Here is a 14,829-nt window from a genome sequence, read left to right as displayed (position 1 = left end):
TAGGCCCCAAAGCGCTCCAAATATCCACTTGCAGATTCTACAAAAAGAGTGTTTCAAAACTGCTCTATCAAAAGGAAGATTTAACTCTGTGAGTTGAGTGCACACATCACAAAGAAGTTTCTGAACATGCTTCTGTCTAGTTTCTTTTTGAAGATATTTCCTTTTCCACCACAGACCTCATAGCGCTCCAAATATCCACTTGCAGAATCTACAAAGAGAGTGTTTCAAAACTACTCTATCAAAAAGAAGGCTTACCTCTGTGAGTTGATGTACACATCACAAAGTAGTTTATGAGAAGGCTTCTGTATAGTTTTTATGTGAAGATATTCCCGTTTCCACCGTTGGCCACAAAGCACTCCATATATCCACCTTTGGATTCTACAAAAAGACTCTTTCAAAACTGCTCTATGAAAAGGAATGTTCAACTCTGTCAGTTGAATGCAAACATCACGAATAAGTTTCTGAGAATGCTTCTGTCTAGCGTTTATGTGAAAATATTTTTTTTCACCATAGGCATCAAAGCGCTCCAAATGTCCACTTTCAGATTCTACAAGAAGAGTGTTTCAAAACTCCTCTAGCAAAAGAAAGTTTCAACTCTGAGTTGAATGCTCACATCACAAAGTAGTTTCTGAGGATGCTTCTGTCTAGTTTTTATATGAGGATATTTCCTTTTCTACCTTAGTCCTCAAATTGCTCCAAATATTCACTTGCAGATTCTACAAGAAGAGTGTTTCAAAACTGCTCCATTTAAAGGAGGGTTCAACGCTGTGAGTTGAATGCACACATCAGAAAGAAGTTTCTGAGAATGCTTCTGAATTGTCTCTATGTAAAGATATATCCTATTTCACCACAGGCCTCAAGGCATTCCAAATGTCCAAGCACAGATTCTACAAAAACAGTGTTTTGAAAGTGCTCTATCATCAAAAGAAAGGTTCATCTCTGTGAGTTGAATGCACACATCACAAAGAAGTTTCTGAGAATGCTTCTGACTGGTTTTAATGGGAAGATATTCCCCTTTCCACTGAAGGCCTCAAAACGCTCCAAATATCCACTTGCAGATTCTACAAAAAGTGTGCTTCAAAGCTGCTCTATCAAAATGAAGGTTCAATTATCTCAGTTGAATGTACATATCACAAAGAAGTTTCTGAGAATGCTTCTGTCTAGTTTTTATGTGACGATATTCCCATTTCCACCGTAGGCCTAAAAGACTTCCAAATATCTACTTGCAGATTCTACAAAAAGAGTGTTTCAAAACTACTGTTTCAGAAGAAAAGTTCAATTCTGTTAGTTGAATGCCAACATCACAAAGATGTTTCTGAGAATGCTTCTGTCTAGTTTTTATGTGAAGATATTCCCTTTTTCACCACAAGCCTCAAAACGCTCCAAATGTCCTCTTCCAGATTCTACAAAAAGAGTGTTTCAAAACTGCTGTATCAAAAGAAAGGTTCAGCTCTGTGAGTTGAATGCACAATTCACAAACTAGTTTCTGAGAAGGCTTCTGTCTAATTTTTATATGAAGATATTTCTTTTTCTACAATAGGCCTCAAAGCACTCCAAATACCCAACTGCAGATTCTACAAAAAGAGTGTCTGAAAACTGCTCTATCAAAATGAAGGTTCAACTCTCTGAGTTGAATGCAAAATCAAATAGTACTTTCTAAAAATACTTCTTTGTAGTTATTATGTGAAGATATTCTCGTTTCCACCGTAGGCCTCAAAGAGCTCCAAATATCCACTTGCAGATTCTACAAAGGGAGATTTTTGAAACAGTTCTATCCAAAGAAAGGTTCAACTCTGTTAGTTGAATGCACACATAGAAAACAAGTTTCTGAGAATGCTTCAGTCTACTTTCTATGTGAAGATACTTGCTTTTTCACACCCTAGGCCTCAAAGTGCTCCAAATATCCACTTGCAAATACTACAAAAAGACTCTTTCAAAACTGCTCTATGAAAAGACAGGTTCAGCTCTCTCAGTTGAATGCACACATCACAAAGAAGTTTCTGAGAATGCTTCTGTCTAGTTTTTATGTGAAGATATTCCCGTTTCCACCGAAGGCCTCAAAGTAATCCAAATATCCAGTTGCAGATTCTACAAAAAGAGTGTTTCAATACTGCTCTAACAAAATAAAGGTTCATATCTGTGAGTTGAATGCACACATCACAAAGAAATTTCTGAGAATGCTTCTGTATAGTTTCTATCTGAAGATATTTCCTTTTCCACCTCAGGCCTTTAAGCACTCCAAATGTACACTTGCAGATTCTACTAAAAGAGTGTTTTAAAGCTGCTCTATCTAAAGAAAGGCTCAACTCTGTGATTTGAATTCACACATCACAAAGAAGTTTCTAAGAATTCTTCTGTCTAGTTTTTATGTGAAGATATTTCCTTTTCTACCAAATGCCTCAAAGCACTCCAAATATCCACTTGCAAATTCCACAAAAGGAATGTTTCAAAACAGCTCTATGAAAAGGAATGTTCAACTCTGTGAGGTGAATGCAAACATCACAAAGATGAAGTTTCTGAGAATAATTTTGTCTAGTTTTTATGTGAAGATATTTCCTTTTTCACTGTAGGCATCAAAGTGCTCAAAATATCCACTTGGAAACTCTACAATAAGAGGGTTTCAAAACTGCTCTAAAAAAACAACTTTCAACTATGTGAGTTGAAGGCATACATCACAAAATAGCTTCTGAGAATGCTTCTGTCTAGTTTTTATATGAAGACATTTCCTTTTCTACCATAGGCCACAAAGCACTCCAAATATCCACTTACAGATCCCACAAAAAGAGTGTTTCAAAACTGCACTATCATAAGAAAGTTTCAACCCTGTGAGTTGAATGCACACATCACGAAGAATTTTCTGAGAATGCTTCTATCTAGTTTTTATGTGAAGATATTCCCATTTCCACCGTAGGACTGAAAGTGCATCATATATCCACTTGCAGATTTTAGGAAAAGAGTGTTTCAAATCTGTTCTATCAAAAGAAAGGTTCAACATTGTGAGTTGAATGCACACATCACAAAGAAGTTTCTGAGAATGATTCTGTCTAGTTTTAATGTGAAGATATTTCCTTTCCCACTACAAGCCTGAAATTGCTCTAAATATCCACTTGCAGATTTTACAAAAAGAGTGTTTCAAAACTGCTCTATCAAAAGAAAATTTCAAATTTGTGAGTTGAATGCACTCTTCAAAAAGTAGTTTCTGAGAATACTTGTGTCTAGTTTTTATGTGAAGATATTTCCTTTTTCACCATAGGCCTCAAATGGAACCAAACATACACTTGCAGATTCTACAAAACGTGTGTTTCGAAACTGCTCTATTAATAGAAAGGTTCAATTCTGTGAGTTGAATGCACACATCTGGAAGAAGTTTCTGGGTATACTTCTGTCTAGTTTTAATGTGGAGACATTTTCTTTTCCACCGTAGGCCTCAAAGCACTCCAAATATCCACTTGCAGATAATACAAAAAGTGTGTTTCAAAACTGCTCTATCAAAAGGAAGGTTCAACACTCTGAGTTGAATGCACACATAACAAAGAAGTTTCTGAAAATACTTCTGTCTAGTTTCTATTTGAAGATAATTCCTTTTCCACCTCAATCTTTGAAGCGCTCCATATGTCCACTTGCAGATCCTACAAAAAGGTTGTTTCAGAACAGCTCTATGAAAAGAAGGGTTCAACTCTGTGAGTTGAATGCACACATCACAAAGTAGTTTCTGAGAATGCTTCTATCTAGTTTTTATGTGAAGATATTCCCGTTTCCACTGAAGGCCTTAAAGCCCTCCAAATATCCACTGGCAGATTCTACAAAAAGAGTGTTTCCAAACTGCTCTATCAAAAGGAAGGTTCAACTCTGTGAGATGAATGCAAATATCACAATGTAGTTTCTGAGAATGATTCTGTCTAGTTTTTATACGAAGATATTTCCTTTTCTACCATAGGCCTCAAAGCGGTCCAAATATGTACTTGAAGATTCTACAAAAAGATGTTAGAAGACTGCTCTATCGAAAAGAAACGTTAAACACTCTGAGTTGAATGCAAACATTACAAAGAAGTTTCTGAGAATGCTTCTCTCTAGTTTTTATGTGAAGATATTCCCTTTTCCACCATAGGCCTAAAAGAGCTCCAAATATCCACTTGCAGATACTACAAAAAGAGTGTTTCAAAACTTCTCTATCAAAAGAAAGGTTCAACTCTGTTAGTTGAATGCACACATCACCAACAAGTTTCTGAAAATGCTTCTGTCTACTTTTTATGTGAAGATGCTTTCTTTCCGACCGTAGGACTCAAAACGCTCCAAATATCCACTTGCAGATGCTACAAAAAGAATGTTTCAAAACTTCTCTATGAAAAGAAACGTTCAACTCTGTCAGATGAATACACACATCACAAAAAAGTTTCTGAAAATGCTTCTGTCTACTTTTTATGTGAAGATACTTCCTTTTCCACCATAGGCCTCAAACGCTCCAAATATAAACTTGCAGATTCTACAAAAAGAGTGTTTCAAAACTGCTCTATGAAAAGGAAGGTTCAACTCTGTGTGCTGAATGCAAACATCTCAAAGAAGTTTCTGAGAATGCTTCTGTCTAGTTTTTATGTGAAAATATTTCCTTTTTCAGCCTAGGCATCAAAGCGCTCCAAATGTCCATTGCAGATTCTACAAAAAGATTGTTTCAAAACTGCCCTATCAAAAGAAAGTTTCAACTCTGTGAGTTGTATCCACACATCCCAAAGTAGTTTCTGAGAATGATTCTGTCTAGTTTTCATGTGAAGATATTTCCTTTTTCACCACAGGCATCAAAGCGCTCCAAATGTCCACTTGCAGATTCTACAGAAAGACTGTTTCAAAACTGTTCTATCAAACGAAATGTTCAACTCTGTGAGTTGAATGCACACATCACAAAGAAGTTTCTGAGAATACTTCTCTCTAGTTTTTATGTGAAGATATTCCCGTTTCCATTGAAGGCCTCAAAGTGCTCGAAATATCCACTTGCAGATTCTACAAAAAGACGGTTTGAAAACTGCCCTATGAGAAGGAAGTTTCGACACTGTGAGTTGATTTCAAACTTCACAAAGCAGTTTCTGAGAATGCTTCTGTCCAGTTTTTATGTGAAGATATATCCTTTTCTACAAAAGACCTAAAGCACTCCAAATATCCACATTCAGATTCTACAGAAAGAGTGTTTCAAAACTGCTCTATCAAAAGGAACTTTCAACTCTGTGAGTTGAGTGCACACAACCCAAAGAAGTTTCTGAGAATGCTTCTGTTTTGTTCTTCTGTGAGGGTGTTTTGTTTTCAAAAACAGGCCCCAAAGGAAACCAAATATCCAATTGCAGGTTCCAAAAAGAGTGTTTCAAATCTGTTCTATCAAAAGAAAATTTCGACTCTGTGGGTTGAATGCGCACATCACAAATAAGTTTCTGAGAATGCTTCTGTCTAGTTTTTATGTTAACGTATCCCCGTTTCCACCGAAGGCCTCAAAGCACTCCAAATATCCACCTTCAGATTCTACAAAAAGAGTGTTTCAAAAGTGCTCTATCAAAAGGAAGGCTCAACTCTGTGAGTTGAATTCACACATCACAAAGCAGTCTCTGAGAATGCTTCTGTCTAGTTTTTATGTGAAGATATTCCCATTTCCACCGAAGGCCTCAAAGCGCTCCAAATATCCACTTGCAGATTCCACAAAAAGAGTGTTTCAAAACTGTTCTACCAAAAGGAAGGCTCAAATCTGTGAGTTGAATGCACACATCACAAAGAAGTTTCTGAGAATGCTTCTGTCTAGTTTTTATGTGAAGATATTCCCGTTTCCACTGAAGGCCTCAAAGCACTCCAAATATGCACTTGCAGATTCTACTAAAAGTGTTTCAAAACTGCTGTACCAAAAAAACTGTTCAAATCTGTGAGATGAATGCCCACATCATGAAGTAGTTTCTGGGAATGCTTCCTTCTATTTTTTATATGAAGATATTCCCTTTCCTACCGAATGCCACAAAGCAGTCCAAAAATCACCTTAGAGATTCTACAAAAAGAGTGTTTCTAAACCGCTCTATCAAAAGGAAGGTTCAACTCTGTGAGATGAATGAAAACATCACCAAGTTGTTTCTGAGAATGCTTCTGTCTAGTTTTTATGTGAAGATATTTCCTTTTCTACCATAGGCCTCTAAGTGCTCTAAATATACACTTGCAAATCCTACAAAAAGAGTTTTTCATAACTGCGCTATCAAAAGAAAGGTTCAACTCTGTGAGTTGAATGCACACATCACAAAAAGAAGTTTCTGAGAATGCTTCTGTCCAGTTTTTATGTGAAGATATTCCCGTTTCCACCGAAAGCACCAAAGCGGTCCAAATGCCTGCTTGCCGATTCTACAAAAAGTGTTTCAAAACTGTTCTACCAAAAGGAAGGTTCAACTCTGTGAGTTGAATTCACACATCACATAGCAGTTTCTGATAATGCTTCTATCTACTTTCTATCTGAAGATATTTCCTTTTCCACAACAGTCCGCAAATCGCTCCAAATGTCCACTTGCAGTTTCTGTAAAAAGAGTGTTTCAAAACTGCTCTATCAAAAGAAAGGTTCAACTCTGTTCGTTGAATGCACACATCACAAACAAGTTTCTGAAAATGCTTGTGTCTAGTTTTTATGTGAAGATACTTGCATTTCCATCATAGGCCTCAAAGCACTTCAAATATCCAGTTGCAGATACTACAAAAAGACTGTTCCAAAACTGCTCTATGAAAAGGAAGGTTCAACTCTGTGAGTTGAATGCACACATCACAAAGAATTTTCGGAGAATGCCTCTGTCTAGTTTTCATGTGAAGATACTTCGTTTTCCAAGTTAGGCATCAAAGGGAAACAAATATCCCTTTGCAGATTCTACAAAAAGAGTGTTTCAAAACTGCACAATCAATAGAAAGGTTCAAATTTTTGAGTTGAATGCACACATTACAAAGACATTTTGGAGAATGCTTGTGTCTAGTTTTTATGTGAAGATAATTTATTTTTCACCGTAGGCCTCAAGGGAAACCAAATATCCACTTGCAGATCCTACAAAACGATTGTTTCAGAACTGCACTGTCAAAAGAAAGTTTCAACCCTGTGAGTTGAATGCACACATCACAAAGAAGTTTTGGAGATTGATTCTGTCCAGTTTTTGCGTGAAGATATTTCCTTTTCCACCATACGCCTCAAAATTCTTCAAATATCCACTTGCAGATTCTACAAAAAGAGTGTTTCAAAACTGCTCTATCAGAAGAAATGTGCAACTCTGTGAGTTTAATGCACATATCTCAATAAGGTTTCGGAGAATGCTTCTGTCTAGTTTTCGTGTGAAGATATTTCCTATTCCACCATAGGCCTCAACGCACTCCAAATATCTACTTGCCGACTCTACACAAAGAGTGTTTCAAAACTGCTCTATCAAAAGAAAGTTTCACCTTTCTGAGTTGAATGCGCACATCACAAAGCAGTTTCTGAGAATGCTTCTGTCTGGTGTTTATGTGAAGATATTTCTTTTTCCAAAATAGTCCTCAAAAGGAACCAAATATCAACTTGCAGGTTCTACAAAAAGAGTCTTTCAAAACTGCTCTGTCAAAAAAAAAATGTTAAACTCTGTGACTTGAATGCACACATCGCAAAGAAGTTTTGGAAAACGCTTCTGTCTAGATTTTATGTGACGGTATTTCTTTTTGCACCATAGGCCTGAAAGAGCAACATATATCCAGTTGCAGATTTTACAAAAAGAGTGTTTCAAAACAGTTCTATCAAAAGAAATGTTCAACACTGTGAGTTGAATGCACACGTCATAAAGGAGTTTCTGAGAATGATTTTGTCTAGTTTTAATGTGAAGATATTTCCTTTTCCACCATATGCCACAAAGCACTCCAAATATCCCCTTGCAGTTTCTACAAAAAGAGTGTTTCAAAACTGCTATATCAAAAGAAAGTTTCAATTCTGTGAGTTGAATGCACAAATCACAAAGAAGTTTCTGAGAATGCGTCTGTCTAGTTTTTCTATGAAGATATTTCCTTTTCAACTATTGGCCTCAAAGCTCTCCAATTATCCACCTGAAGATTCTACAAAACTAGTGTTTCAAAACTGCACTATGAAAAGAAAGGTTCAAGTCTGTGAGTTGAATGCACACATCACAGGGACGTTTCAGAGAATGCTTTTGTGTAGCATTTATGTGAAGATATTTCCTTTTTCAACATAGGCCTCAAAGGAAACAAATATCCAGTTGCAGATTCTACAAAAAGATTGTTTCATTTGGGTTGGTTCCAAGTCTTTGCTATTGTGAATAATGCCGCAATAAACATACGTGTGCATGTGTCTTTATAGCAGCATGATTTATAGTCCTTTGGGTATATACCCAGTAATGGAATGGCTGAGTCAAATGGTATTTCTAGTTCTAGATCCCTGAGGAATCGCCACACTGACTTCCACAATGGTTGAACTAGTTTACAGTCCCACCAACAGTGTAAAAGTGTTCCTATTTCTCCACATCCTCTCCAGCACCTATTGTTTCCTGACATTTTAATGATTGCCATTCTAACTGGTGTGAGATGGTATCTCATTGTACTTTTGATTTGCATTTCTCTGATGGCCAGTGATGGTGAGCATTTTTTCATGTGTTTTTTGGCTGCATAAATGTCTTCTTTTGAGAAGTGTCTGTTCATAACCCAAATGTCCAAAAATGATAGACTAGATTAAGAAAATGTGGCACATATACACCATGGAATACTATGCAGCCATAAAAAATGATGAGTTCATGTCCTTTGTAGGGACATGGATGAAATTGGAAACCATCATTCTCAGTAAACTATCGCAAGAACAAAAAACCAAACACCGCATATTCTCACTCATAGGTGGGAATTGAACAATGAGATCACATGGACACAGAAAGGGGAACATCACACTCTGGGGACTGTGGTGGGGTGGGGGGAGGGGGGAGGGATAGCATTGGGAGATATACCTAATGCTGGATGACGAGTTGATGGGTGCAGCACACCAGCATGGCACATGTATACGTATGTAACTAACCTGCACAATGTGCACATGTACCCTAAAACTTAAAGTATAATAATAAAAATAAATAAATAAATAAATAAATAAATTAAAAAAAAAAAGAAAAGAAAAAAGAAAAAAAATAAGAGTGTTTCAAAACTGCTCTGTCAAAAGGAAGTTTAATCTCTGTGACATGAATGCACACATCACAAAGAAGCTTCTGAGAATGCTTCTGTCTAGTTTTCATGTGAAGATATTTCCTTTTCCACCAAAGTTTCAAAGCACTCCAAAATTCCACTTGCAGATTCTATAAAAACAGTGTTTCAAAACTGCTCTTTCAAAAGAAAGGTTTAACTGTCTCAGTTGAATGTACACATCACAAAGAAGTTTCTGAGAATGCTTCTTTCTAGTTTGTATGTGAGAATATTTCTTTTTCCATCATAGGCCTCAAAGCCCTCCAAATATCCACTTGCAGATTCTACAAAAAGACTGTTTCAAAACTGATCTATCTAAAGAAAAGTTCAACTCTGTGAGTTGAGTGCACACAACACAAAGAAGTTTTTGAGAATGTTTCTATCTAATTTTTATGTGAAGATATTTACTTTTACACCATAAGCTGCCAATCATCCCAAATATCCACTTGTAGATTCTTCAAAAAGAGTGTTTCAAAACTGCTCTATCAGAAGAGAAGTTCAAACCTGTGAGTTGAATGCACACATCACAAAGAAGTTTCTGAGAATGACTCTGTTTGTTTAGTTTTTATGTGAAGATATTTCCTTTTCCACCATAGGCCTAAAAGCGCTCCAAATATCCACTTGCAGATGTTGCAACTGTATCAAAATAAAATTTCAACTCTGTGCATTTAATGCCCACATCACAAAGAAGTTTCTGAGAATGCTTCTGTCTAGTTTTTATGTGAAGATATTTCCTTTTCCACCATAGGCCTCAAAGTGTTCCAAATATCCACTTGCAGATTCTACAAAAAGATTGTTTCAAAGCTGCTCAATCAAAGGAAAGTTTCAACTCTGTGAGTTGAATGCAAAAAACACAGAGAAGTTTCTGAGAATGCTTCTCTCTCCTTTTTATGTGAAGATATTCCCGTTTCCAAATAAGGCCTCACAGGGATCAAAATATGCATTAGGAGATTCTACAAAAAGAGTGTTTCAAAGCTGCTGTATCAAAAGAAAGTTTCAACTCTGTGTCTTGAATGCACACATCACAAAGAAGTTTATGAGAATGCTTCTGTCTTGTTTTTATGTGAAGATATTCCTTTTCCATGATAGGCCTCACAGCACTCCAAATATCCACTTGCAGATTCTACAAAAAGCGTGTTTCAAAACTGCTCAATCAAAGGAAAGGATCAACTCTGTGAGTGGAATGCACACAACACAAAGAAGTTTTTGAGAATGCTTTTGTCTGGTTTTTAATGTTGAGGGCACATCCTTTTCCACCAAAGGCCTCAATGCGCTCCAAATATGCAGATGCAGATTCCACAAAAAGAGTGTTACAAAACTGTTCTATCAAAAGAAAGGTTCAACTCTGTTTGTTGAATGCACTCATCACAAGAAAGTTTCTGAAAATGTTTCTGTCTAGTTTTTATGTGAAGATATTTCCTTTTCCACCACAGGCCTCCAAGCTCTCCAAATATCCACTTGCAGATTCTACAAACAGAGTGTTTCAAAACTGCTCAAACTTAGGGAAGTACAGCTCTGTGAGTAGAATATACACAACATAAAGAAGTTTCTGAGAATGCTTCTGTCTAGTTTTTATGTGAATATACTTCCTTTCCAATCCTAGGCCTCAAAGCACTCCAAATATCTACTTGCAGAATCTACAAAAAGAGTGTTTCAAAACTGCTCTATCAAAAGAAAGGATCAACTCTGAGAGTGGAATGCACTCATCACAAAGAAGTTTCTGAGAATGCTTCTGTTTACTTTTTATGTGAATATACTTCCTTTTCAATCCTAGGCCTCAAAGCTCTCCAAATATCTACTTGCAGATTCTAGAAAAAGAGTGTTTCAAAAGTGCTCTATTGAAAGAAAATTTCAACTCTGTGAGTTGAATGTACGCATCACAAAGAAGTTTCTGAGAATGCTTCTGTCTAGTTTTTATGTGAAGATATTTCCTATTCCACCATTGGCTTAAAGCGCTCCAAATGTCCAATTAAAAATTGTACAAAAAAGAGTATTTCAAAACTGCTCTATCAAAAGGAAGGTTCAACTCTGTGAGTTGAATTCACAAATCACAAAGATGTTTCTGAGAATGCTTCTGACTAGTTTTTATGAGAGGATATTTTGTTTTCCACCATAGACCTCAAAGAGATAAAAATATCCACTTGCAGATTTTACAATAAGAGTGTTTCAAAACTGCTCTATCGAAAGGAAGGTTCAACTCTGTGAGTTGAATGCAAACGCCACAAAGAAGGTACTGAGAATACTTCAGTCTAGTTTTTATGTGAGCATATTTCCTTTTCCACCTTATACCTCAAAGCGCTCCTAATATCCACTTGCAGATTCTGCAAAAAGAGTGTTTCAAAACTGCTCTATCAAAAGAAAGGTTCAACTCTGAGGGTTCAATGCACTCATCGCAAAGAAGTTTCTGAGAATGCTTCTACCTAGTTTTTATGTGAAGATATTTCCTTTTCCTCCATAGGCCTCTAAGTCCTCCAAATATCCACTTGCAGATTCCACAAAAAGAGTGTTTCAAAACTGCTCTATAAAAAAGTATGTTCAACTCTGTGAGTTGAATGCACACATCACAAATAAGTTTCTCGGAACGCTTCTGTCTAGTTTTTAATTTAGGATATTTCCTTTTTCACCATAGGCCTCAAAGCGCTCCAAATGTCCACTTGCAGATTCTACAAAAAGAGTGTTTCAAAACTCCTCTATCAAAAGGAAGGTTCAACTGAGTGAGTTGAAAGCACACATCCCAAAGAAGTTTCTGAGAATTCCTCTGTCTACTTTTTATGTGAGGATATTTACTTTTCCAGCATTGTCCTCGAAAGGCTCAAAATATCCACTTGTAGATTCTTCAAAAAGAGTGTTTCAAAACTGCTCTATCAAAAGGAAGGCTCATCTCTGTGAGATGAATGTACACATCAGAAAGATGTTTCTGAGAATCCCTCTGTATACTTTATATGTGAGGATATTTCCTTTTCCACCATAAACCTCAAATCACTCCAAATATCCACTTGCAGATCCTACAAAAAGTGTTTCAAAAGCGCTATATCAAAAGGAAGGTTCAACTCTATGAGTAGAATGCACACATCACAAATAAGTTTCTGAGAATTCTTCTGTCTACTTTTTATGTGAGGATATTTTTTTCCACAATAGTCCTCAAAGCGCTCCAAATATCCACTTGCAGATTCTACAAAAAGAGTGTTTCAAAACTGCTCAATCAAAAGAAAGATTCAACTCCATTAGTTGAATGCACATATCACAAAGAAGTTTCTGAGAATGCTTCTTTCTAGTTTTTACTTGAGCATATTTCCTTTTCCACCATAGGCCTCAAATTGCTCCAAATATCCAGTTGCAGATTCTACATAAAGAGTGTTTCAAAACTGCTCTATCAATAGGAAGGTTCAACTCTATGAGTTGAATGTACTCATAACAAAGAAGTTTGTGAGCATTCTTCTGTCTAGTTTTTATGTGAGGATATTTCCTTTTCCACCAAAGGCCTCAAAGCACTCCAAATATACACTTGTAGATTCTACAAAAAAAGCGTTTTAAAACTATTCTAGCAAAAGAAAGATTCAACTCTGTGAGTTGAATGCACACGTCACAGAGTAGTTTCTGAGAATGTTTCTGTCTAGCTTTTATGAGAGGATATTTTCTTTTCCAACATAGGCCTCAAAACGCTCCAAAAATCCACTTGCAGATTCTACAAAAGGAGTGTTTCAAAACTGCTCTATCGAAAGGAAGGCCAACTCTGTGAACTGAATGCAAACATCACAAAGAAGTCTCTGAGAATACTTCTGTCAAGTTTTTATGTGAAGATACTTCCTTTTCCACCTTAGGCATTAAAGTGCTCCAAATGTCCTCTTTCAGATTCTAGAAAAAGTGTGTTTCAAAACTCCTCGGTCAAAGGAAAGGTTCAACTCTGTGAGTTGAATGCACACATCAAAAAGAAGTTTCTGACAATGCTTTTGTCTAGCTTTATGTGAATATATTTCCTTTTCCACCATAGGCCTCAAAGCGCTAAAAACATCCCATTGCAGATTCTTCAAAAACAGGGTTGCAATGCTGCTGTATCAAATGGAACGTTCAACTCTGTGAGTTAGTGCACACATCACAAAGAAGTTTCTGAGAATGCTTCTGTCTAGTTTTTATATTAGGATATTTCCTTTTCCACCATAGGCCTCAAAGCACTCCAAATATCCACATGCAGATTCCACAAAAAGACTGTTTCAAAAGTGCCCTCTCAAAAGAACGTTTCACTTGTTTGAGTTGAATGCACTCAACACAAAGAAGTTTCTGAGAATGCTTCTGTCTAGTTTATTTCTGAAGATATTTCCTTTTGCAACATTGGACACAAAGTGCTCAAATATCCACTTGCAGATCCTACAAAAAGAGTGTTTCAAAACTGCTCTATCAAAACGAAGGTTCAACTCTGTGAGTTGAATGCAAACGTCACAAAGAAGTTTCTGAGAATGTTTCTTTCTAGATTTTATGTGAAGATATTTAATTTTCCATAATAGGTCTCAAAGCGCCAAAAACATCCTATTGCAGATTCTTCAAAAAGAGTGTTTCAAACCTTGTCTATCAAAAGAAAGGTTGAACTTTGTTAGTTGAATGCCCACATCACAAAGAAGTTTCTGAGAGTGCTTCTGTCTAGTTTTTATGTGAGGATATTTCCTTTTCCAACATAGGCCTCATAGCGCTCCGAATATCAACTTGCAGATTCTACAAAAAGAGTGTGATAAAACTGCTCAATCAAAGAAAGGTTCAACTCTGTGAGTTGAATGCACGGATCACAAAGAGGTTTCTGAGAATGCTTCTGTCTATATTTTATGTGAAGATATTTCGTTTTCCACCATAGACCTCAGAGGTCTCCAAATATCCACTTGCAGATTCTAAAAAAAGAGTGTTTCAAAACCACTCTATCAAAAGGAACGTTCAACTCTGTGAGTTGGATGCACACATCACAGAGAAGTTTCTGAGAATGCTTCTGTCCAGTTTTTATGTGAGGATATTTCCTTTTCCACCATAGGCCACAAATAACTCCAAATATCCACTTGCAGATTCTACTAAAAGCATGTTTCAGAACTGCTCTATGAAAAGGAACGTTCAACTCTGCGAGTTCAATGCACACATCACAAAGAAGTTTCTGAGAAAGCTTCTGTCAAGTTTTTATGTGTGGATATTTACTTTTCCACCATAGGCCTCAAAGTGCTCCAAGTATCCACTTGCAGATTCTACAAAAAGTGTGTTTCAAAACTGCTCTATCAAAAGAAAGGTTCAACTCTGTGAGTTGAATGCACACATCACAAAGAAGTTTCTGAGAATGCTTCTGTCTAGTTTTTATGGGAAGATATTTCCTTTTATCCAAAAAGCTCCAATCATCCTCTTGCAGTTGCTACAAAAAGAGTGTTTCTAAACCGCTCTATCAAAAGTAAGGTTCAACTCTGTGAGTTGAATGCACACATCACCAAGAAGTTTCTGAGAATAATTCTGTCTAGTTTTTACGTGAGGATATTTCCTTTTCCACCATAGGCCTCAAAGCACTCCAAATATCCACTTGCAGATTCTATAAAAAGAGCGTTTTAAAACTGCTCCATCAAAAGAAAGGTTAAACTCTGTGAATTGAATGCACACATCACAAAGAGGTTTCTG

General features: G+C 36.6%; 5 annotated features.

Moving 5' to 3' along the window:
- Window positions 4,305-5,016: an enhancer, noted in NCBI's record as "OCT4-NANOG hESC enhancer chr8:43771189-43771900 (GRCh37/hg19 assembly coordinates)". NCBI's record gives its function as "activates a minimal SCP1, AML or CMV promoter by ChIP-STARR-seq in primed H9 embryonic stem cells {active_cell/tissue: H9 hESC(primed)}" and the evidence as "EXISTENCE:reporter gene assay evidence [ECO:0000049][PMID:30033119]".
- Window positions 9,166-9,667: an enhancer, noted in NCBI's record as "OCT4 hESC enhancer chr8:43766538-43767039 (GRCh37/hg19 assembly coordinates)". NCBI's record gives its function as "activates a minimal SCP1, AML or CMV promoter by ChIP-STARR-seq in primed H9 embryonic stem cells {active_cell/tissue: H9 hESC(primed)}" and the evidence as "EXISTENCE:reporter gene assay evidence [ECO:0000049][PMID:30033119]".
- Window positions 10,386-10,927: an enhancer, noted in NCBI's record as "OCT4-NANOG hESC enhancer chr8:43765278-43765819 (GRCh37/hg19 assembly coordinates)". NCBI's record gives its function as "activates a minimal SCP1, AML or CMV promoter by ChIP-STARR-seq in primed H9 embryonic stem cells {active_cell/tissue: H9 hESC(primed)}" and the evidence as "EXISTENCE:reporter gene assay evidence [ECO:0000049][PMID:30033119]".
- Window positions 11,186-12,103: an enhancer, noted in NCBI's record as "OCT4-NANOG hESC enhancer chr8:43764102-43765019 (GRCh37/hg19 assembly coordinates)". NCBI's record gives its function as "activates a minimal SCP1, AML or CMV promoter by ChIP-STARR-seq in naive H9 embryonic stem cells {active_cell/tissue: H9 hESC(naive)}" and the evidence as "EXISTENCE:reporter gene assay evidence [ECO:0000049][PMID:30033119]".
- Window positions 13,377-13,899: an enhancer, noted in NCBI's record as "OCT4-NANOG hESC enhancer chr8:43762306-43762828 (GRCh37/hg19 assembly coordinates)". NCBI's record gives its function as "activates a minimal SCP1, AML or CMV promoter by ChIP-STARR-seq in naive H9 embryonic stem cells {active_cell/tissue: H9 hESC(naive)}" and the evidence as "EXISTENCE:reporter gene assay evidence [ECO:0000049][PMID:30033119]".

The sequence above is a fragment of the Homo sapiens genome, chromosome 8 (assembly GCF_000001405.40).
Source record: "Homo sapiens chromosome 8, GRCh38.p14 Primary Assembly".
NCBI classification, from domain to species: Eukaryota; Metazoa; Chordata; class Mammalia; order Primates; family Hominidae; genus Homo; species Homo sapiens.
Note: the sequence above shows the minus strand (reverse complement) of the source record. Positions and strands in the feature narration are given on the sequence as shown.